Source organism: Homo sapiens, chromosome 5, assembly GCF_000001405.40.
Source record: "Homo sapiens chromosome 5, GRCh38.p14 Primary Assembly".
Lineage (NCBI taxonomy): Eukaryota > Metazoa > Chordata > Mammalia > Primates > Hominidae > Homo > Homo sapiens.
This window is the reverse complement of record NC_000005.10, coordinates 120,011,150-120,035,530: the sequence shown is the minus strand read 5'-3', so window position 1 is coordinate 120,035,530 and position 24,381 is coordinate 120,011,150. Positions and strand designations below refer to the sequence as shown.

The 24,381-nt window shown below is 37.7% G+C and overlaps 1 long non-coding RNA gene across 1 annotated transcript; it reads right to left on the bottom strand.

The window, feature by feature from the left end:
- Nucleotides 1-22,682: 22,682 nt before the first annotated feature.
- Nucleotides 22,683-23,902, bottom strand: LOC124901053 (uncharacterized). Its single transcript, XR_007058913.1, has 2 exons — nucleotides 23,828-23,902; nucleotides 22,683-22,791 (listed from the first exon to the last, which is right to left on the bottom strand). It is a non-coding gene; the product is annotated as an uncharacterized LOC124901053 (long non-coding RNA).
- Nucleotides 23,903-24,381: the final 479 nt, after the last annotated feature.

Genomic DNA, 24,381 nt, shown 5'->3' with positions numbered 1-24,381 from the left:
AACCAAAATTTTGAGCTCTTTTCACCATATGAAACTAGACAGTGTTTGTGCCATTATTTGAAAACACAGCAAAAAGTTATTGTAACTGTAAATAATTTATCTTATTCATCCACATAACACATAATTCAGCAAATTTTAAAAACTGACAGAAGATTTAGTTGATTCATCAAAATTTGAGATTAAGAAAAACTGTAGCCTGGAGGAATTACATGAGAAAAGGGATTGTAGTAGGTTGAATAATGACTCCCAAAGATATCTAGATCCTAATTCCTAGAACCTGTAATTGCACATTTATGTGGAAACAGAGAGATGGGGGATATGATCTTGTTATGTTGATATGATCTTGTTTGGGGGAAAGTGTCCTGGATTATCTGGATGGGCATAAATGCAATCATGAGAGTCTGTAAGAGAGAGGCAAAGGGATATTTGACTACAGAGAGGAAGGCAATGTAAGGAAAACAGAGAGATCTGAAGATGCTCTGCTGCTGGATTTGAAGAGTGAAGGAGAGGCCATGAGCCAAGGAACATAACTCCAGAATCTGGAAAATGTAAGAAAACTACAGCCCAAGCAACATAGTGAGACCTCGTCTCTACTAAAAAAGAAAAAAAAAATTAGCCAGGTTTGGTGGTGCACACCTGTAGTCCCAGCTACTTGGGTGGCTGAAACAGGAGGATTGCTTGAGCCCAGGAGGTCGAGACTACAGTGAGCTGTGATGGCACCACTACACCCCAGCCTGCATGACAGAGTGAGACCCTCTCCAAAAAGGAAAGGAAAGAAAAGGAGAAGGGAGGGGAGGGGAGGGAAGGGAACTAATACAGGAAGAGTTAACCACAAAGCAAGGTAAGGAATCTATATTGCCAATTTTCAGTCACATAATCTCTCAGAATACCACATAAATCCCATCAGTTTGCTTCCAATTACATCTCAGATAAGTTATAGAAGACAAAAGATTATTAGTATAATTATGCATGAATATAATTAATGGGTATAATTACCCAAAGGATAATTATGTTATCAAATAATTAAATAAAATAATAAGGCATAGGAAAACAAAACTTCCAAAAATAGCAACATAGTGTCTTTTAAATATAAAACATAAAATATTCTTGGAATTATTTTCATTAAGTCATTTTATTTATTCACTTTCAGAGAGGCAACTCACTGTCCAAAAAGTATATGTTGCATTCCATTCTTTAATGTAGAATTGTTACTGGAGAGCAGCTGCTCAGCAAGGGACTATGTTTTCAAATTTTCCTTGCAGTCAAACGTGTCCAAGTGACTGAGTTCTAGTATCTAGCCAGTGGAATATGAGAGGAAGTTGTTTGTCACTTCCAGGCCTGGCTCACAAATAAAAAGTATGTTCTTTCATGCTCTGTCTATAGATGAGCAGATGGCCGTGAATGCCTTTTGTGGAAGCCAGTAGAGCTACAAATTAGAGGGTCCACAAATCACCACTTAGAGAGGAACCACTGATAGTTGTATACATTTTCAAATTTATGAGCAAGAAGTAATTTTTTCTTTAAGCCTACATATATATATATATATATACACACATGTTTGTTTATTGAGGTTGTTATTGTTGCCCTAACACAGGCATCATCCATTCATTGATTCAACAAATATTAAGTACCTACAATGAACCACATATGGCTCTAAGTCTTGGGACAAATCAGTAAACAAAACAAAGACTTCTCTCTTGGAGCTAGTGTTAGAAAACAAAGTAAGCAAATCAATAAATGAGTAATCTCATAGGAAAACTATAAAAAATTAAAAGTAGGATAAAGGAATATAGAATAATGAAGTATTATTTTAGATGGGATGGTTAGGAGAGGCTCTCTGGATGTGACCATTAGAGAAGGCCATGTGACTTTTCCTTAGAATGCTATTTCAGTGAGTGTGAACAGAAAAGGCAAGGACCCTAAGAAGGGAGTGGACTTGGCATGTTTGTACAACATCAATGAATCCAATATGGTGGAAGCTCAGTGAAGAATGGGGAAAGTGGTGTAAAGGGCATTCATAGAAATGGACAAAAAAGAGAGATCAGATAGGGCCTAGTAGGAAATTTTATTCCAAGTGTATTTGGAAGCAGGAAATGAAGAGCTGAAAGGAAGAAACAAAATGCTATACATTTAAAAAAACATCACTCTGGCTGTACAATGAAAAAAATAGGCTTCATTAGGGCAATAATGGAATTACAGAGTGCAAGTAGGAGAAAAATGCAATAGTGCACACAAAACATAATGGCTCTGAGGTAGAGCCAATTCATATTTTGAGTGTGGAAAAAAATAGGCTGTTGATGAGGTGAGATGTGAGAGAAAGAGATGAATTAAAGATGATTCCATGGTTTTTGCCTTGAGCAACTGGATATATGGTGATGCTGTTTCAGAGTTGGGGAAATCTATAGGAAAAGCATATTTAGGGAATGAAATCAAAAGATCGATTTCCAATTTATTAATCTTGAGATGTCAATTAAAGATCAATTGGAGATTTTCAGTGATCAGGTGGATATTCTAATCTGGAATTCAACAAACAGTTGAGAGCTGGAAATACACATTTTGAAGTCATCAGCATATAGGGGGCTATGTTTTATAATTGGAGTATTTGCATCCTTAGTGGATGTTGGAAATTTGTGGAGAAGTTTTAGGATCTTAAACTATTTAAAGAGTGCTCCTGAAATTTAGTGGATGACAAGGATTACTCGACTTTGAAATGCCATATAAGCAGAAAGCTTGTTTGTAATTATTTGCTCCTAGATCCAAATCATAATTAGATATTGATATAGTTTGGCTGTGTTCCCATCCAAATCTCATCTTGAATGGTAGCTCCCATAATTCCCACGTCATGAGAAGGACCCAGTGTGAGGTAATTGAATCGTGGGGTGGGTGATTCCTGTGCTGTTCTCATGATAGTAAATAAGTCTCACAAGACCTGATGGTTTTATAAAGCGGAGATCCCCTGCACATGCTCTCTGGCCTGCTGCCATGTAAGATGTGACTTTGCTCCTCTTTTGCCTTCCACCATGATGGTGAGGCCTCCCCAGCCATATGGAACTATGAGTCAATTAAACCTCTTTTTTTATAAATTACCCAGTCTCAGATATGTCTTTATGAGCAGTGTGAGAACAGACTAATACACTTATATACACGAAAAATTTTTGTACAGGTTTACTGCATATTTATTTTCTTCCATAAATGCAACTACTATGAATATCAACAGAAGATTAAATTTTATTTTATTCAGCAAATTACCATTGATCCCAATTTTGGAAAACCATGTCACCAATAGCAGGTAACACATGGTTTTGAGCTAACAGCACAACAGACTTTATTAGCTTGCATTTATTAGAATGGGTACAAGCATCTGAATATTTTATTATGTCCTCTAATATAATTGTCCTTGAGAATTTACAATTGAATCATATAATTTTATTATATATTTTGGTTTTTTCTCAACTTCATTTAAGAATCAGAGCTTCTTTTGAAAGTACCTATATAGATAGATCAAATTATCCATGACCTTAATTTCAGAATGTTAAAGAGAGAGTCACAAAATATTGACTATACGAAGGGGCATTGGGCCTAACACAATAGACCTACAGAGCAAGAAGAGAAATGAGAAAAGAAGTGAGGACAAAGCTCAGAGGCAATTCAACATTAGAGGTCAAGAAGATGAAGTGGAACCAGTAAAGAAGTTTAAAAAGAAGTGGCCACTGGGCTATGGAGAAAAACAGGAAAATATGATATCCTAAAAACCAAGCAGAGAACATTTTTAAAGCAGAGAGAATAATCAAACTTGTCATGGGTCAAGTTAGACAAGCTAGACAAAAACTTGTCATGGGTCAGGTTTGCTCATGGATCAAATTAAATGAGGACTGAGAGCTAATCACTGGATTTGGCAAAGTGAAGCTCATTGAATCTTTGAAATAGTTACAGTGGACTGGTAGAGACAAAAGCCTGATTTAGATTAAATAAAAAGAGAACGTGAACTTCCAGGTATGGACAAGATGAAGTAACAGAAACTGTATTTATCCTCCCACCTGAAACAATAAATAAGTGAGCAAAATATGTAGAAAGGGGGCAGTACAGGGTTTATTTGTTTGTTATATACTACAAGACTTTTCACAGGCATATTGAGGAAGCTTATGTAAACTCAGCATGATCTTGGTCACAGAAGAGTTAGGCCAGAAAAATGCAAGTTACTTATTATTTTCTGATGCAGGAGAAAGCCTTTGTGAACTATGAGATTCACATATTATTTTCTCTTCATCAGCATAAAAGAAAAAACAACAGAAGCAAAGTTGCTTAATATCCAAACGCTATGGGCAACTCCAAAGAGAAATCAAAGAAGAAAAGAATATGCTAGATACTTCATCTTTGTAATATCCAAGAAACTCTAACAAAGTGTCAAGAAAACTTCAAGATAAATGAATTTACTTAAACCATGAGAAAGTCATGATTACATTAAGCAGTGATTTAAAACAGTTGAAAAGTTTACTCTAGGACATATAGTATCCCTTAAAATGTATCTTTTAAATGCTAGCTATTTTTATATTTGGCTATTTAAATAGAGCTCGTGTTTCAAAGAGAAAACATATACCTGTGTTGGAAAACACATTAACTGCAGACATTCCACACCTCTGGAACCCACCTACCAAGTAATTTGGGACACTGGATAGACTCCATCCTGAGACAGAGTCAACATGTTCCCATCACAGCTGTGGTCTCCTTCCTACCTGGTAATAAGTACAGCTGTTTAAAACCAGTAGTCATAGCCTGAACACCACCAACTTACCCAAATTTTAGGGTGGCAATTTACCTAAATTGCAGACCATGGTCCTCCAAGTAAATAAACAGCCTCTGGAGCATAATTTTGTAATGTAAATACAGAAAATGACAGCAAATGGCACTAGTAATCTAGGGGGGGTTACATAATTTGCAAGCATAATGAGTACCTCCCGAGAATAAATCCTAGTAAGGGAGCCATGATCTTCTAATAACCAGGTTGCAACCTCTTGGAAAAGGTGTGCCAAACCATTCTTTCTGCTCTATGTGGGACTGCAAGCATGTTAGGACTCTGCTGAAGCACTGACCATTCTGTTTAGACACAAATACAAATCATATAAAAATTTTGAGAATGAGTAAGCAATAGAATGATGGTAAATGAGAGTAAAGGAGTTGAGACTTAACCAAGGAACAAAGCTGGATTATTCACACCCATGACAAAGACTGTGCCCAAAACTGGTCAGTGGTGCTAATGTGTTAAGGATTAAAGAATATATTCTCAGAGTGACTTTAGCAAGATAATGGAAGATTCCCAGCTCATGTTCTCCCCACACGAATGACAAACTACAGCCATCAGAGGCAAAAGTGCCTGTGTGGGAGCTTTTGAATCCAGGTAGATTGTGAAACCCTCCTGAAGCCCAGTACTGAGGACAGCCATATGGAGAAGGCAGACCCATACACGAGTGGCAGGCTTGCTGAGCACAGTTCTGGCTGCAGAGCAAAAGTAGTCCCACCTCCCTCTGGACTCAGCTTCAACCCTACTTGGCTGTAGTTTCTAAATGAGCTCCTTCCACCATTGCAATTCATGTCCCCTAATAACAGGCCCTCCAACCTCAGACACAATCCAGGATTCTGAAGCAGGTCCTCACTACCATAGTCCAGAGTCAGTCCTGCCAACCCAGGAAACTGGTGGGAAACACACCTCTTCATGTCCCCAGTAATAAGCCTGGGGACCTTTACCTCACTACAGATGCTGAAGCAGCCCTGTGCCTCAGCTCCAGCTCTACTTGATCATATCCTAGATTTAGTCTTACCAGAGATCAATCCTAACTACTCATGATGTATAATCCTTTTAAGGTGAGGTTAAATTCTGGCTGCTGGTATTATATTGAGGATAGACACTTTATAACTAAATTATCAAAAGTTAAAAAGACGAAAAAGTGATCATCTCAGCTATATGGGCTCTTTTTTGGTTCCATATGAAATTTAAAGTAGTTTTTTCTAATTCTGTGAAGAAAGTCAATGGTAGCTTGATGGGGATAGCATTGAATCTATAAATTACTTAGGGCAGTATGGCCTTTTCACGATATTGATTCTTCCTATCCATGAGCACGGAATGTTTTTCCATTTGTTTGTGTCCTCTCTTATTTCCTTGAGCAGTGGCTTGTAGTTCTCCTTGAAGAGGTCCTTCACATCCCTTGTAAGTTGGATTTCTAGGTATTTTATTCTTTTTGTAGCAATTGTGAATGGGAGTTCACTCATGATTTGGCTCTCTGTTTGTCTGCTATTGTTGTATAGGAATGCTTGTGATTTTTGCACATTGATTTTGTATCCTGAGACTTTGCTGAAGTTGCTTATCAGCTTAAGGAGATTTTGGACTTAGACGATGGGGTTTTCTAAATATACAATCATGTCATCTGCATACAGAGACAATTTGACTTCCTCTCTTTCTATTTGAATGCACTTTATTTCTTTCTCTTGCCTGATTGCCCTGGCCAGAACTTCCAATATTGTGTTGAATAGGTGTGGTGAGAGAGGGCATCCTTGTTTTGTGCCGGTTTTCAAAGGCAATGCTTCCAGCTTTTGCCCATTCAGTATGATATTGGCTGTGGGTTTGTCATAAATAGCTCTTATTATTTTGAGATATGTTCCATCAATGCCTAGTTTATTGAGAGTTTTTTAGCATGAAGGGATGTTGAATTTTATTGAAGGCCTTTTGTGCAACTATTGACATAATCATGTGGTTTTCATCATTGGATGTGTTTATGTGATGGATTACATTTATTGATTTGCGTATGTTGAACCAGCCTTGCATCCCAGGGATGAAGCTGACTTGATTGTGGTGGATAAGCTTTTTGATGTGTTGCTGGATTCGATTTGCCAGTATTTTGTTGAGGATTTTTGCATCAATGTTCATCAGGGATATTGGCCTGAAATTTTATTTTTCTGTTGTGTCTCTGCCAGGCTTTGGTATCAGGATGATGCTGGCCTCATGCAATGAGTTAGCGAGGATTCCCTCTTTTTCTGTTGTTTGGAATAGTTTCAGAAGGAATGGTACCAACTACTCTTGGTATCTTTGTAGAATTCGGCTGTGAATCCATCTGGTCCTGGACTTTTTTTGGTTGGTAGGCTATTAATTACTGCCTCAGTTTCAGAACTTGTTATTGGACTATTCAGGGATTCGACTTCTTCCTGTTTTAGTCTTGGAGGTATCATGCTACCTGACTTCAAACTACACTACGAAGCTACAGTAACTGAAACAGCATGGTACTGGTACGAAAACAGATATATAGACAAATATAACAGAACAGAGGCCTCAGAAATAATGCCACACATCTACAACCATTGGATCTTTTAAAAACCAGACAAAAACAAGCAATGGGGAAAGGATTCCCTATTTAATAAATGGTGTAGGGAAAACCATGCTAGCCATATGCAGAAAACTGAAACTGGACCCCTTCCTTACACCTTATACAAAAATTAACTCAGACACACACCACCAAGCCTAGCTAATTTTTGTATTTTTGGTAAAGACAGAGTTTCAGTATGTTGGCCAGGCTGGTGGCAAACTCCTGACCTCAGATCCACCTGCCTCAGCCTCCCAAAGTGCTGGGATTACAGGTATGAGCCACCACACCCAGCCACAACTTTTGTACATTGATTTTGTATTCTGAAACTTTACTGAAGTTTTGTTTGTGTTTGTTTTTCCAGTTCTTGAAACCTTTGGGATGAGCCTCTGAGATTTTCTAGGCATGAAATAATATTATTTGTGAAGAGAAGTAGATTGACTTTCTCTCTTTCTATTCTTTCTCTTGCCTTTTATTTCTTTCTCTTGCCTGGTTGCTTTCTCTAAGACTTCCAGTACTGTGTTGAATACATGTGGTAAAAGTGGGCATCCTTGTCTTGTTCCAGTTCTCAAGAGGAATGCTTTCAGCTTTTGCCCATTCAGTATGATATTGGCTGTGGGTTTATCATATGTGGCTCTTATTATTTTGAGGTATGTTCCTTTAATGCATAGTTTGTCAAGGGCTTTTAACATGAAGGGATGTTGATTTTTATTGAAAGCCTTTTCTGCATCTGTTGAGATGATCATATGGTTTTGTTTTTACTTCTGTCTACGTGATGAATCCCATGTATTGATTTGTATATGTTGAACTAATCTTGCATCCCAGGAATAAAACCTACTTTATAATTGTGGATTAGCTTTTTGATGTGCTGCTGGATTTGGTTTGCTAGTATTTTGTTGAGAATTTCTGTGTCTATTTTCATCAAAGACATTGGCCTCAAGTTTTCTTTTTTCATTGTGCCTCTGCTAGGTTTTTTTTTCAGAATTTAAACAAAATTGTAAAATCTTTAGCTAGAGTAGGAAAAAGGAAAGGACTCAAAAAAATAAATAAAATCATGCATATGTTCATTGCAGCACTACTCACAATAGCAAAGACATGGAATCAACCTACATGCCCATCCATGATAGACTAGATTGAAAAATCTGGTACATATATGTCATAAAATACTCTGTAACCATAAAGATAATGAGATCAGGCCCTTTGTAGTAACATAGATAGAGCTAGAGGCCATTATCTTGAGCAAACTAATGCAGGAACAGAAAACCAAATACCACATATTCTCTTATAAGTAGAAGCTAAACATTGAGTACATATGGACACAAAGAAGGGAAAAACAGACACCAGGGCTGACTTGAGGGTGGAGGGTGAGAGGAGGATGAGGGCTGAAAGCTACCTATTAGGTACTATGCTTATTACCCGGGTGATGAAATAATTTGTATGCCAAACCCTTGCGACATGCAATTTACCTATATAGCAAACCTGAACATGTACCCCTGAACCTAAAACAAAAGTTAACGAAAAAAAAGTGGTATAACCATACAATGAAATATTATTTAGCCAGAAAAAGGGATGAAGTACGAATATAACATGAATACACCTTGAAAACATGGTGAGTAGAAAGAAGCCAAATACAAAAGGCCACATGTAGTATTTCATTTATATGAAATGTCTAGAGTAGGCAAATCCTACTCCAGACATAAAGTAAGGTAGTGCTTGCTAGGGACTGGGGTGGGATGAATATAAAATGATAGCTAATGGATATGGGTTTTCTTTGGGTGAGGGATGATGAAAATGTTCCAAAATTATATTGTAGTGATGGTATGACTTTGACTACATTAAAAATCATTGAAATGTACACTTTAAATAGGAAAATATTATGTGACTTATATCTCAATAAAGCTGTTAACAAATTAAAATGAAATAAAATCAGAAATGAGGGGATGCATTACAATACAATAGATGCCTCAGAAATAAAAAGGACCATACACTGCCTTTATGAACAATTATATGCCAACAACTTGGATAATCTAGAGGAAATGATTAGTTTTTAGACACATACAACTTTCCAAACCTGAATCAAAGAGAAATAGTAAGCTTGAATAGACCAATGCAAGAAGATTGAATTAGTCACCAAAAACCTTCTGGAAAAATTCAAAATTAGCTGACTTCATGGGTAAATTCTACCAAACATTCAAAGAGGAATTAATATCAATCCTTTTTAACCTCTTCCAAAAAATAGAAAAAGAGGGAGTACTTTCAAACTCATTTTATGAGGCTGCTATCACCCTGATACAAAAGCAAAACAAAGACACCATGAAAAAGAGAAAATCGTGGGCCAATACCCTTGATTACCATAGATGCAAAAATTCTCAATATAATGCTAACAGCTAGAATTCAACACCACCTTAAAATAATTGTACATCATGACCAAGTGAGATTTTCCCTGGGATGCAACATTAATTCTATATATGCAAACAAATGTGATACATGAGATTAAAAAAATTTTAAACCACATGATCATCTCAGGAGACACAGAGAAAGCATTTGACAAAATTTAAATTGATTCATAATTAAAACTCCCAACAAAATAGGTAAAAAAGAATAATAGGCAAAGAGGAATTTAGCACAATATAAGCCATATATGAAAAGATAACAGCAATCTTCATAATCAATAAGAAAAATCTAAACATTTTTCCTCTAAGATCCGGTAAAACGCAAGGATGCTCATTCTTACCAATTCTATTCCACATAGTACTCAAAGTCCTACCCAGTGCAATTAGTGAAAGAAAAAAAGAAAGAAAGAAGAAAGGAAGAAAGAAAAAGAAAGAAAGAAAGAAAGAAAGAAAGAAAGAAAGAAAGAAAGAAAGAGAAAGAAAGAAAAAATTCAAATTGGAAAAAAGTAAAAATACTTCTGTTCACAGATGATATCATCATATATGTAGAAAATCTTAAAGACTCAACCAAAAAAAAAAAAAAAACAAGAACTAATGAATGAATGAAGTAAAGTTGCAGGATATAAAATCAACATACACACTCAGTAGCATTCCTATACACAAAAACAATCTCTCCAAAAGGAAATTAAGAAAGCAACTCCATTCATAATAGCACAAAAAATACAAGACCTAGGAATAAACTTAACCAAAGTGGTGAAAGACTTCTACAGTGGAAATTATAAAACATTGATGAAGGAAATTAAAGGCACAGATATATGAAAATATATTTCATGTTCATCGACTGAAATAATTACAATTATTAAAATGTCCATATTTTCCAAACTGATCAGACAATCTCTATTAAAACACAAATGGCATTGTTAATAGAAATTTTAAAAATCAAAAATTTACGTGGAACCACAAAAGACACCAAACACCCAAAATAATATTGAGGAAGAACAAAGAAGTAGGCATCACACTTCCTGATTTCTAAATATATTACAAAGCTACTGCAATCAAAGATTATGGTATTGATATAAAATATATAGACCAATGGAACATTACAGAGAGCCTAGGAATAAATCAATCTGTGCTCAACTAACTTTTGACCAGAGTGTCAAGACACACAGTGAGGAAAGAATCGTCTCTTCAATAGGTGTCTATTAGTCCATTCTCAGGCTGCTGTAAGGACATACCCAAACCTGGGTAATTTATAAAGGAAAGAGGTTTAATGAACTCACAGTTCCACATGGCTGGGGAGGCCTCACAATCATGGTGGAAGGTGAAGGAGGAGTAAAGGCATATCTTACATGGTGGCAGGCAAAAGATTGTGTGCAGGGGAACTGCCCTTTGTAAAACCATCAGATCTCATGAGACTTATTCACTATCATGAGAACAGCATGGGTAAACCCGCCCCCATGATTCAATTACATCCCACCAGCTCCCTCCCATGACACGTGGGGATTTGGGGAGCTTCAATTCAAGATAAGTTTTATGTGGGAACACAGCCAAATTATATCATTCTGCCCATGGCCCCTCCCAAATCTCATGTCCTCCCATTTCAAAACCAATCACGCCTTCTCAATAGTCCCCCAAAGTCTTAACTCATTTCAGCATTAATTCAAAAGCCCACAGTCCAAAGTCTCATCTGAGACAAGGTAAGTCCCTTCTGCCTGTGAGCCTGTAAAATCAAAAGCAAGTTAATTTCTTCCATTCTAATAGATACAATAGAGGTAGAGGCATTGGGTAAATACACCTATTCCAAATGGGAGAAACTGACCAAAATGAAGGGGCCGCTGGCCCCATGCAAGTCTGAAATCCAGCGGGGCAGTCAAATTGTAAAGCTCCAAAATGATCTCCTTTTACTCCATGTCTCACATCCAGGTGACGCTGATGCAAGAGGTGGGTTCATGGTCCTTGGCAGCTCTGCCTCTGTGTCTTTGCAAGGTACAGGCCCCTTCCCGACTGCTTTCACAAGCTGGCATTGAGTGTCTGCGGCTTTTCCAGTCGCACAGTGCAAGCTGTCAGTGGATCTATTATTCTGGGGTCTGGAGGATGGTGGCCCTCTTCTCACAGCTCTACTAGGCAGTCCCCCAGTGGGGACCCTGTGTGGGGGGCTTCAACCCCACATTTCCCTTCTGCAGTGCTTTCGAAGAAGTTTTCCATGAGGGTTCCACCCCTACAGCACACCTCTGCCTGGACATTCAGGCATTTCCATACATCCTCTGAAATCTAGGCGGAGGTTCCCAAACCTCAATTCTTGATTTCTGTGCACCTGCAGACACAACACCACATGGAAGTTGCCAAGGCTTGGGGCTTGCACCCTGTGAAGCCATGGCCTGAGCTGTACCTTGGCCTCTTTTAGCCACAGCTGGAACCACTGGGATGCAGGGCGCCAAGTCCTGAGACTGCACACAGCCGATGTGCCCTGGACCCAGCCCAGGAAGCCAATTTTCCTTCCTGGGCCTGTGGGCCTGTGATGGGAGGGGCTGCCACCAAGGTCTCTGACATGCCCTGGAAACAGTTTCCTCATTGTTGGGGTGATTAGCATTTGGCTGCTCATTACTTATGCAAGTTTCTAACGCTGGCTTAAATTTCACCCCTGAAAATTGTTTTTTTTTCTTTTCTTTTCTTTTCTACTGCATTGTCAGGCTGCAAAGTTTTCAAACTTTTATGCTCTGCTTCCTCTTGAACACTTTCTGCTTAGAAATTTCTTCTACCAGGTACCCTAAATTATCTCTCTCAAGTTCAAAGTTTTATAGATCTCTAGGGCAGGGGCAAAATGCCACCAGTCTTTTTGCATAGCAAGAGTGACCTTTACTCCAGTTCCCAACAAGTTCCTCATCTCCATCTGAGACCACATCAGCCTGGACTTTATTGTTATATCCCTATCAGCATTTTGGTCAAAGCTATTCAACAAGTCTCTGAGTCTCCAAGTTCATTCAAGCCATTCAACAAGTCTCTAAGTCTCTAAGTTCCAAACTTTCCCACACCTTTCTGTCTTCTGAGCTCTCCAAGTCTCTAGGAAGTTCCAAACTTCCCCACATTTTCCTATCTTCTTCTGAGCCCTCCAAACTGTTCCAACCTCTCCCTGTTACCCAGTTCCAAAGTCATCTCCACATATTCAGATATCTTTACAGCAGCACCCTACTCTACTGAAACCAATTTACTATATTAATCCATTCTCATGTTGCTATAAGGACATACACAAAACTGAGTAATTTATAAAGGAAAGAGGTTTAATGGACTCGCAGTTCCACATGGCTGGGGAGGCCTCACAATCATGGTGGAAGGTGAAGGAGGAGTAAAGGCATATCTTACATGGCGGCAATCAAGAGAGCATGTGCAGGGGAACTGCCCTTTATAAAACCACCAGATCTCATAAGACTTATTCACTATCATGAGAACAGCATGGGAAAAACCTGCCCCCATAATTCAATTACCTCCCACAAGATCCCTCCCATGACATATGGGGTTTTTGGAAGCTACAATTTAAGATAAGCTTTTGGTGGAGACACAAACCATATTGAAGTGTTACTGGGAAAACTGGATATTCACATGCAGAAGAATAAAATTGGACCCTTATCTCACATCATATACAAAATTAAACTCAAAATTGATTAAATGCTTAAATATAAGACCTGAAATCATAAAACTTTTGTAAGAAAAAATAGGGTAAACCTTCCTGTCATTGGTATGAGCAACTAGTTTTTTGATATGACATCAGAAGCACGGGTGTCAAAAGAAGAGATTGTATTACATTAAAAACTTCTACATCTCAAAGGAAACAATCCAGTTAAAAAGACAGCCTATAGAATGGGAGGAAATATTTGCAAACCATATATCTAATAAGGTGTTAATATCCAAAATATATAAGGAACTCAAGCAACTCAATAGCAAATTTAACCCAATTTAAATATAGCCCAATTTAAAAATAGGCAAAGGACCTGAAGAGACATTTTTCCAAAGAAGAAACAAAAATGGCCAACAGGTATATAAAAAGATGTTGAGGCCGGGCGCGGTGGCTCACGCCTGTAATCCCAGCACTTTGGGAGGCCGAGGCGGGCGGATCACGAGGTCAGGAGATCGAGACCATCCTGGCTAACACGGTGAAACCCCGTCTCTACTAAAAATACAAAAAATTAGCCGGGCGTGGTGGTGGGCGCCTGTAATCCCAGCTACTCGGGAGGCTGAGGCAGGAGAATGGCATGAACCCAAGAGGCGGAGCTTGCAGTGAGCCGGGATAGCGCCACTGCAGTCCAGCTTGGGCGAAAGAGTGAGACTCCGCCTCAAAAAAAAAAAAAAAAAAAAAAAAAAAAAAAAAAAAAAAAAAGATGTTGAATATCACTAGTCATCCGGGATATGCAAATGAAAATCACAATGAGATATTATTTTGCACCTATTAGGATGGCTATTATCAAAAAGACAAGAGTAACACGTGTTGGTGAGAATGTGGAGAAAAGAGAACCCTTGCACACTGATGGTGAGAATGTAAATTGGTACAGCCATTATTGCACATGGTATGGAGATTCTTCAAAAAAACAAAAACAGAACTACTGTATGATCCTGCAATCCCTGTTGTGGGTATATATCCAGTGGAAATGAAATCCATATGTCAAAGAGATATCTGCATTCCCATGTTCATTGTAGCATTATTCACAATAGCCAAGATATGGAAACAACGTGTCAATGGATGAATGGATAAAGAAAATGTGATGTATACACATTCACAAAGAAATGGAATATTATTCAGCCTCAAAAAAGGACAAAAGCCTGCCATTTTTGGCAATATGGATGAACCTGAAGGACATTATGGTAATTGAAATAAGCCAGACACAGAAAGACAAATACTGCATGACCTCACTTATATGTAGAATCTAAAAAACTTGAACTCATAAAAGCAAAGAGGAAAATGTTAGTTGGCCGAAGCTGCCAGGTGGGGGAAATGTGAAGATGTTGGTGAAAGGATACAAAGAGTCAGTTATGCAGGATCAATATGTTCTAGAGATCTAATGTACAGCATGACTACAGTTAATAATACTGAATCCTATATTTGAAATTTGCTAAGAGTAGATCTTCAGTGTTCTTACCACAAAAAAATAACTATTTGAGGTAACATATATGTCCTTTGGCTTGATTGTGGTAATCATTTCACAATGTGTAAGGATATCAAAATATGACATAGTATACCTTAAATATATACAATTTTTATTTGGCAAGTATACCTTAATGAAGCTGGGAGAAAAAAAGAATTATCTTCTTTGTCTTCTTCTCGCAGTTATTCATTTCTTGCCCAGATTTACTCAACTTTGTACTGTTCTTGCCTCCAGTCCTGTCTAGCTGCAATAGATTCTCCACACTTCAGACCATGAACTTTCTGTTTCTAAATGGAAATCAGTTCATATCTTTCTCTGCTTTAAAATTCATAACTGCCTCCTAATAGCCTAAGGATTAGGCCCATACTCTATCATAATGTCATAGTTTGAAACAATGATCTGGGTGCAGGTTGGTTCTTTGAGGGTGATCCCGGAAGTACAAATGATGGCATGAAAAAGGTTTGACAGGGAAGGTAGAAAAGTCTATAAATCCTGCCTTAGTAAGTAGCTTAATACGACAGGCAACTGCAGCTAAATACACTATAGGCCCTTGTGTCTGAAACACACCTTACAATTGCATTGTGGCTGGAGCATTGACTCCCAACTCCATTTGTTGAGAGTGCTCTTAGTCATATTAACACCACTTCCAATTTGTGTTACTTGAAACATAATCATTTCCCAAGGTACTAGAGAAAGATTTCAGGCAGAGAAGAGAGAAGCAGATATTTCTAAGGTGGAAAGATGTCAATGTTACAGAAACTATCTCATTCTGCACCTGCAGGCGAACTCAGAGAGGCCGATGGAAGATGAGAATTTGCTTTACATGGCACAGAAGACCCACATGGTCTGGCACGGAAATCAGAAAACTCATCCCTGGTCACTTGATAACTACAATGTACTTGTATTGGACCCCTTTCCATTTCATGAATGGATCCCATCTTTTCCAAATTACAAATTCACAACTGTACAGTTCGATTTTTTTCTCTGCTTCTATGGCAGATGGTTCCTATTTTACTATCTAGCATCATGAGCCAATTATAATTTAAACACGGAGTCTAACAGAGAATCTCACAGAGGGAACACGCATATGTTTGTTGAATGAATAACTAAAAAAAATCTCTTAGATGATAGAGAGACTGCTGACAGAACAAACGAGCATACCTGTATGATGAAATTAAGTAGAATAATCACAGGCAGGGAGGGTATAAGAAGTGTTTTATGAATGTATTAAATTTATGGAGGCAGAAGTGTTGTCAGGAAAAATAATTTTGTTAAGTGACAGGATCCTGATAGACAGTACTGTGTCAGGCAGGCAAATCAGTTTCTTAGATGTAGCTAAGATAAAGAAGTTTGCCCTTTTTTGAGCTCAACTTTAAGGTCTTCCATCAATCTGAGGTTTCTATAGGAGCCAGAATGATTTGCTCTTTTATTTAATATTTAAGAGGTGTTGTTAAATAGTCCCCAAACTAGGTGTGCTCTTCCTTTGTAGATTTGGAGAGAGCACCAGGGAGCTCCACTGCTACTGTTACTTAACAAAATTATTTTTCCTAATAATACTTCTGCCTCCATAAATTTACAATAAGTCAGAAAAAAATACATATATCCAACTGGGAGAGTCAAATACTCAGGTTCATTAAAATGCCACAGAGGCAGGATGCTGTGTGAGATTTGCAGGGTGGTGCATGTGAACCTGTTAACCTTGCTTCTAAATCTAAGAAGTGGGCACATACAGCTTTGTTTGAGTATATCTGCCTCTTACAATCTGTCCTTTCCAGTTAGTCCTTAAAAGGATATTCACCTGGGTACCAATAGTTGTCACAAGACTCTTCTATTTCTCTTTTGCCTATTCAAGAGGAATGATGCCATAAGATTGTAAGAATATGATACGTAGGTAGTAGGGGTTTGTGAGGATGAATACAGAAGATTTCAGAATTGATGAAACTTAAATATATATTTAGCAAAAGTGAAAGTAAACTGTGAACAGGCGTATCAGCCAATAAACTGGAATTTCTTTTTGTATTCTTTTGGAAATAAAACATCCTTTTGCTACATTGGCACCAGTGCGTGTACCTAAATAGGTAATTTTGTCTTCTGGTTCCTATCTGTGGGAGAGATTCGGTTTCACAGTTTCTTTGAGCAAACTGTAATGCAGTATTTGGACTCTTTTTGTAATGGTGGATCTGAAACAAGAGCTACATAATGATTCTATAAAATACTCTGCTAAAATAAATTAATTCCTGGCCAGGCATGGTGGCTCACAACTGTAATCCAAGCACTTTGGGAGGCCAAAGCAGGAGGATCACCTGATGTCAGGAGTTTGAGACCAGCCTGGCCAGCATGGTGAAACCCCGTCTCTACCAAAAATACAAAAATTAGCCAGGCATGGTGGCGCACACCTGTAGTCCCAGCTACTCAGAAGGCTGAGGCAGGAGAGTTGCTTGAACCCAGGAGGCGGAGGTTGCAATGAGCCAAGATCAAGCCACTGCACTCCAGCCTGGGCAACAGAGGAAGACTTTGTCTCAAAAATAAATTAAATAAATAAATAAATAAATAAACTCCTTACGCAAGGCAATCACTAGTAAACCATAGCTGCTGAAGGTGACAAGAGTATCCAAGGATGACACTGAAGAGCAAGGCCAAGGTCTTCATACAAAATCAAATACCTTATTCAAACCCTAGGTATATCAGTTTGTGATAAACTGATAGAACTCAGTAATCAAACACAATTAAAATGACTGATTTTCCAGCTATGAAATGTTTGAGAGTTATAGTACAAAAGGCCAACATAGAAAACTGTTTTACCAATAAGCCTCTTAGTGAATGCTAATCTTCATTTATAGTCTCATAAATACATATGGCCAAAATAGAACAGAATGTGTTAATGACTAAACTCTGACTCATCTCTTTCACTCCACACATGGAATCTATTGCCAAAATCTATCACTTCTTTTTTTTCAAAATGACTCCTATAATTATATCTTTCCTATCTACTATCTATTGTGGTTTACAACACACATACATCATCTCAGTGGAGCCTCACAACATTCCCAGGACACTATTTTACAAATTAGTAAAACTGGCTGTCAGTGATATTAGGAAACTGGCTCAATGTCACTCAAATAGTAAATGATATAATCACAATTTCTCATCCAGAAGATTACGATTAAGGCATCATCCAGCTCTAAAATGCTGTAGTTGGATAACTGCATACCCTCCTTTCCTTTCCTTTGTCTGCCACTGTCTTCGCCTAAAACTTGACCACTTCTCACCTAGGCAGGTACAATTTCTCTTTACCTGACAGCAATAGTCTCAGGGAGCATAGCTTTCTTCTCCATTTAGCACTCTCACCATGTCACACTCTTCTCTGAGAGCTCCCAGCTCTTAGGATCATAGCCAAAATGTTCAGCCTCTTTTTCCCAAGAGTCCCATTAAAAAGATTCTGAATTGTATGTGTCTTGTGCCACCCCACTCAGGTCTGACCACTCCTACTTAGTTTATTATTGGCTCATTTACAGTCTTCCCCTTCTCTGGTCCTACCCGGCCCCCACCCTGAGGTTTCATGAGCTATCTGATATGGAAACATATGCATTTCATTTCACGCCCACCCCCCTCAAGCTGCCTCCAGCTTCTTCTGCTTCTGCTTTATTTAAACATTTAAAGTCCCCCTCAAAAAAGCACCTTTTCTCAGCTTCTGACTTTATGTGACCTAGTCCTGTGTGAAATTGAAATGGCATGTTAATGTTATCTGCTGCAGAGAGTAAACTCCTGCAGGGCAGTGACAAAGCATAATTATCTGTACTTTGTAGAACACAGAAAATTAACACTCAATATGTGTTAAATAAAGGAAAGCAAACATTTTAATTTTTGTTGCTATTTGGTGCTTTTTAATGTCATGTTTTGAAATCATTTTGCTCAAAATGCAAACAGGAATAAATCTCAAGAGACTGTTAGAAAAATTATCCTAAACCTGGCCCCCTCTTAAGATGGAGGCCCTGGATATTTTACTTTGTTGGCTTGATGTTTAAGGGATATTTGTGGAAATTGTATATGTAATATAAATTACATGATGCAAGCCCCCCAACTTCTAACAGAAGAGTTATTTGCAGCAGTCTCCTTCCAAAACGTCTTGACTCTCAGATTTTGTAATGGTAGGGGAGTGAGAGAGAGATCACCTCCAATCTCTCCTTTAGCTCTTATCTAGGCTCTTTGTCTGAATCTAGAAACCAAATTAACACCAGGCAGATTAATAAGAGAAAAACATACAAAGTTTATTAGTTTTACATGTACATGGGCATCTTCACAAGAGAGTGAAGTCTGGAGTAGCCAAAGCAAGATGCTTTTATACTTCTTAGACAAAGAATGATAAATTTGAGAAGAAATGACAGGATAAATGGTATCTAACTAGAAGCGGTAAATTTCTAGGGTAGTCACAAGGAGATACACAGAAGGGTATAAAACTCCTGGAAGATAAGGGGTACTTTGGAAAGTATATTTATCCAGGTCCATTGTAGCCCCCCAGTTCCCAGTCTCTTATGATAAGGGCTATTTTCTTGCCCTGGTTCTGTGAGGGTACACCTCCCAGAGGAATCTTTATGGCTTGCTGTGTGGAAGAAAAGATAGGTCATCTACTTGTTTCTGTAACTACAATTTTTCCAAGGTTTTCAACTCAAAATAATCAATTTACCAATTATCATGCATTGAGATGGCATATCCTTCACTCCTTTAAAATTCTGATTCATTATACCCCATGTCAAATGCATCCTTCTTAAACAAGCGTATTCTGTCACTACACTTCTCAAAATTATTATGTTTCACCATATTCCTATTCATCAACACAAACCTCTGTCTCACTTTTAGGGTTTCCTGTAATCCAGCTTGTGAAATTTAGGCATCATTCTGGACTTCTGTCTTATTATTGCCACCCCTGCCTAGAAATTTAACGTCTAATCTATCACCAAGTCCTGTCCGTTCAACTGCCAAGTTCAAGAAACTAATGTATTTCTCATAGACTACAGCAAGCCTATATTATTTCCTGGTTTTTGCTTATAGAACACCACAGTGATTAGGAGCACAAACTGCCTCAGTTCAAAGCTTAGACTTTTCATTTATTAATTGTGTAAATCTGGACAAAATAATTAACCTCCTAGTGCCCTTCTATTTTTCTCTCTAAATTGAGAGGACAATAATGGTACCTACTTCATGGGACTGTTATAAGGATTAATGGGTCAGCACTTTCTGAGTACATAGAATATTATGTGATACATGGTAAGTGCTGTCATGTATGGTATGGTAGGTAGCTTGATGATGATGATGGTGGGGGTGGTGGTTATGAAAAACATTATCTCCTAATTTCCTACACATAAAAACAAAGGAAACTTTTAAAAACATAAATTATGTGTGGTCATATTTGGTCTCCAAAAATTCCCATTCATTTCACTTAAAACAAATTTTAAATTCTCTCCTCTGCTTCTCAATATCCTACATGATCTAGTTCCTGAATGCCTTTTTAGTTCACCTTGAACCATGTGTCCCCTTCTTACTTTACTCCAGGCTCTCAACTTCTGTTAGTTTGTAGAACCCATCAAATTCTTTGATACCTTGTCCCTACCCACTGCTTTCCTTATCTGGCTCTTTTTCTTTCTTTAGGTCTTGGTTCAAAGTCAACTCCTTGGAGGTGCTTTCCCCACCCTACCTAAAATGTCCTTCACCTCCAATGCTGACTGCTGCAGCATCTAGTTGTTGTTGATATTGTTACAATGACTTACCACAAACTTGCTTCCGTTGGTTCTTTGCTTACTGGGTTTTTGTTTTGTTTTGTTTGCTGAACCCAACTAGAATATAAGCTGCATGAGGAAAGGGATCACATCTATCTTGTCCACCATTGACTCACCAGCACTGGGGAGGCTGGTATGCATGTCATTGCTATTTGTGGAATGTTATTCTATCAACGGTTTTATTTTACTCACCTAAATATTTGTTCCTACTCCCAGATTCTTCTCCTCCACTGCGTTCAGGCCATTTACATCAATGTAAACTATCTCCATCTGTGATATTTCACTCAGCCCCCTTGATAAAATAGTCAACCCTTCTATCTTGGTCTACCAAAATTATGATGAAGATTCACCTCCTCCAAGACTTCAGTGAAAACGCTTGCCCTCACTAATCTTTCATGCCTTAGCATTTCTATCTCACTTAAAATTTCTCCCACAAACTGTTAATCCTTATATATAGAACAATATTCTAATTTCTTAATGCATATTACCATCATCTTCTCAACTAAACCCTAAGTACGTATTTTTGTGTTTTTATGTATTTATTCCTAGAGTGTACAATGTCAAAAGAGAAGCTTAATAAAAATTTAGAATTAGATAATTTTATATTGGAGGAAGCTAAGACCTGTATGTACATACTAAACTTCTGAATACCCCAGCAAGACTTTTATCTCAACACCTTAACATCTTTTTTAAAGTAAATTTATTGCTCTAGCAAAATATATATATTTTCTTTATATTATATATATATTCTTTATATTATATATATTCTTTATATTATATATATTATATATATATATATATTCTTTTGTGAATTTTGTAAGAATTTCGTTTTGCTTGGGTGGTGATGACACCTAAGCTTCCCAAAGTACTCCAGACTCTAAAAATTGCAGGAACAAAACATACTGGAGACCATATGGAAAAAGTTCTATAAGAATGCTGTCAGTTAGCGTCTGCTTCTATCAAAATTGATATCGAAACTGATATCCCGAAGCTTTTTAATTCTTCTCTAAGGCGACTGTGTAAAGGATTGCTTAATCATAGAATACCATTAGAAAGTGTTTTGCTCAGATTTGAATTGATGAATTATTTTTAAAAGTTCAATGCTAACTCATATTTGGTTCTCATTTAATTCAAGTTAGATAACTTCTTTTATCAAGGCCACAGTTTCAGTACCAACGCATACAATTCTGAATATCAGTGCTGTTGACTCATGTTTCTTTGTCAAATGTGAATTCAGAGCTCAAGGGTAAGAGTAACTTTTTTATAAACCTTCTTAATCCTTCAGAGCCAAAAGAAGACTTAATTTGTGACCAGGGCTCTTTCCCCAACTCTTCATATCATCATGAAGGGCTGCATAGATTTATCATCTCCTGTGTACCAATTTTGCTCAAGAGGTCCTCTTATCCTCATTCACATTCAAGAAAAAATAATGGGCAGCCAGCTCTGTGCCAGGCATTGGTCTGTACACTCAGGACATTGATGCAAACACAGGCAAGGTGCATGTTCTTCAGGAGGCTTCATTGCATAATTCTGGCAATCTTAGTTTATTTGTCTCTCATTGATAGAGGCATTCTGTGATATTGTAGAATACATATTTGGTCTTTGACCCCATTTTTCTGACATACAATTCCTAAAATTCTTAGAATCTCCAGTGATATTTTTATGTATGTTAATGTGTGTAAATGGTGGCCGGCAGCCTCTAGGTAGCTTCAGGATAGAGGCTTGTCCCTGAAAAAATCCAAGGTATAATTAGTGGGTTGGAACTTTTAGCCCCACCCCACAAAATCTAGGTTGAAGCGAGAGACTGAGGGTTAAATTGATCACCAATGGTCAGTGGTTTGATCAGTCATGCCTTTGTGATAAATCCTTCATAAAAACCCAAAGAAGACAGGGTTGGGAGAGCTTCTGGATAGCCAAACACATGAAGTTTCCTGAAGAGTAGCACCCCTGGGAAGAGCATGGAAGCTCTATGCCACTTCCTGTCCCTCACCCTATGCATCTGTCAACCTGAAATAATTAAAAGGATCAGAATCCAGCTTAGAAGAATTTATTCAAGTGCAAATCTGAGAATAGCCATTCAGGTAGCAAATACTCCAAAGGAATGGGGTCAGTGCTCCAAAGTTGCAAAGTTAAGATCTTGCTTATATAGGCAGAAAACAAAGAAATTTATCCAGATTACTATACTACATTTTTCATACAAGCGTGATTTATAGTTACAGCAATTTGATTAGTTACAGCTGTTTTCCTTTTCCAATTTAAAAGAGTATATTTAACATTCCATCTTAAACAATGTGAAAGTCATAAGGTCTTTTTGTAAGGGAAGAGGGAAGTTAATCTATAATAAGGATCAACACTGAAGAGAAAAAGGATATTGTCTGGGGTTTTTTAGTCTTTTACCACATTTTACAAAACAATGTAGGTAAAGAAAAGGCTAATCTATACTCAGGGGGACAAAAGTTACAGCTGCTGCTGGCCGCAGTGGCTCACATCTGTAATCCCAGCACTTTGGGAGGCCGAGGCAGGTGGATCACCTGAGGTCAGGAGTTCAAGACCAACCTGGCCAACATGGCAAAACCCCATCTCTTCTAAAAAAATACAAAAATTAGCCACCAGGCATGGTGTCGGGTGCCTGTAATCCCAGCTACTCAGGAGGCTCAGGTAGGGAGGCAGGTAGGTAGGAGGCTTGAACCTGGGAGGCAGAGGTTGCAGTAAGCAGAGATCATACCTCTGCACACCAGCCTGGGCAACAGAGCGAGACTCCATCTCAAAAAAAAAAGATACAGCTGTGTAGGTCATAGCTGCCTGTCATGTGACTGAGTTCCCCTGATCACATTCTTTTAAGACTCAAAATAATTTAAAGTTCCAACAGCTTTAATGTTGATTTACTTACTTTTACACATCTCTTCATTTGTATCTTTAGTAATATCCTTTATAGTAAACCAGTAAACAAAAGCATTTCCCTGAGTTCTGGGAGCTGCTCTAACAAATTAGTCACACCCGGTCATTGAAAATTGAGTTTATAGCCAGCTGGTTAGAAGCACAGGCAAAACAACCTGGACCTTCTAATTGGCATCTGAACTGAGGGGGCAGTCTTGGGGATGAATGCTTAACTTTGGGGATCACACACTATCTTCAGGTAGAAGTTTCAGAATTGAATTGAATTAGAGAATACCCACCTAGTATCTGCTACAGAATTGATTTCTTTCTTGTTGGTCAGAAAAAGCCTCATATATATGGTCACAGAAGTTTTCTCTGTTGATTGCTATGGTGTGAGAGCAGAGGAAAATTCATTTTTCCAGAGTTGTTATAATTTTTTGCAACTCAGACATACATAAAGATTTCAATTTATTTTTATCATCTTTTACCTCTCTCAGTGCTGAAGTAAAAAATAAAATATGTTTTCTGCTGTAATTTACTTATTTCTTTTTTTAATTTGTATTTCTTTTGCTAATTCTTGTCAAACATTTCCCACTATACTCAATAACATTGTGTTTATAAATCTAACATGCCAACAATTATAAAAACACACTATTATTTTATGTATGACTGAGTGACAAAATAATGCCAATTAAGTTATGTCATAATACTTTGTATCACTTGCAGTTTAACTTTATATTACTATAAAAGCTCATTTGAAATTATTTAAACATATATTTTTTCATACATCACTCACAAGCATGTATGTAAAAAGAAATAAGAACAAAATAAATTGGTTGAGTATTTCTAAAAT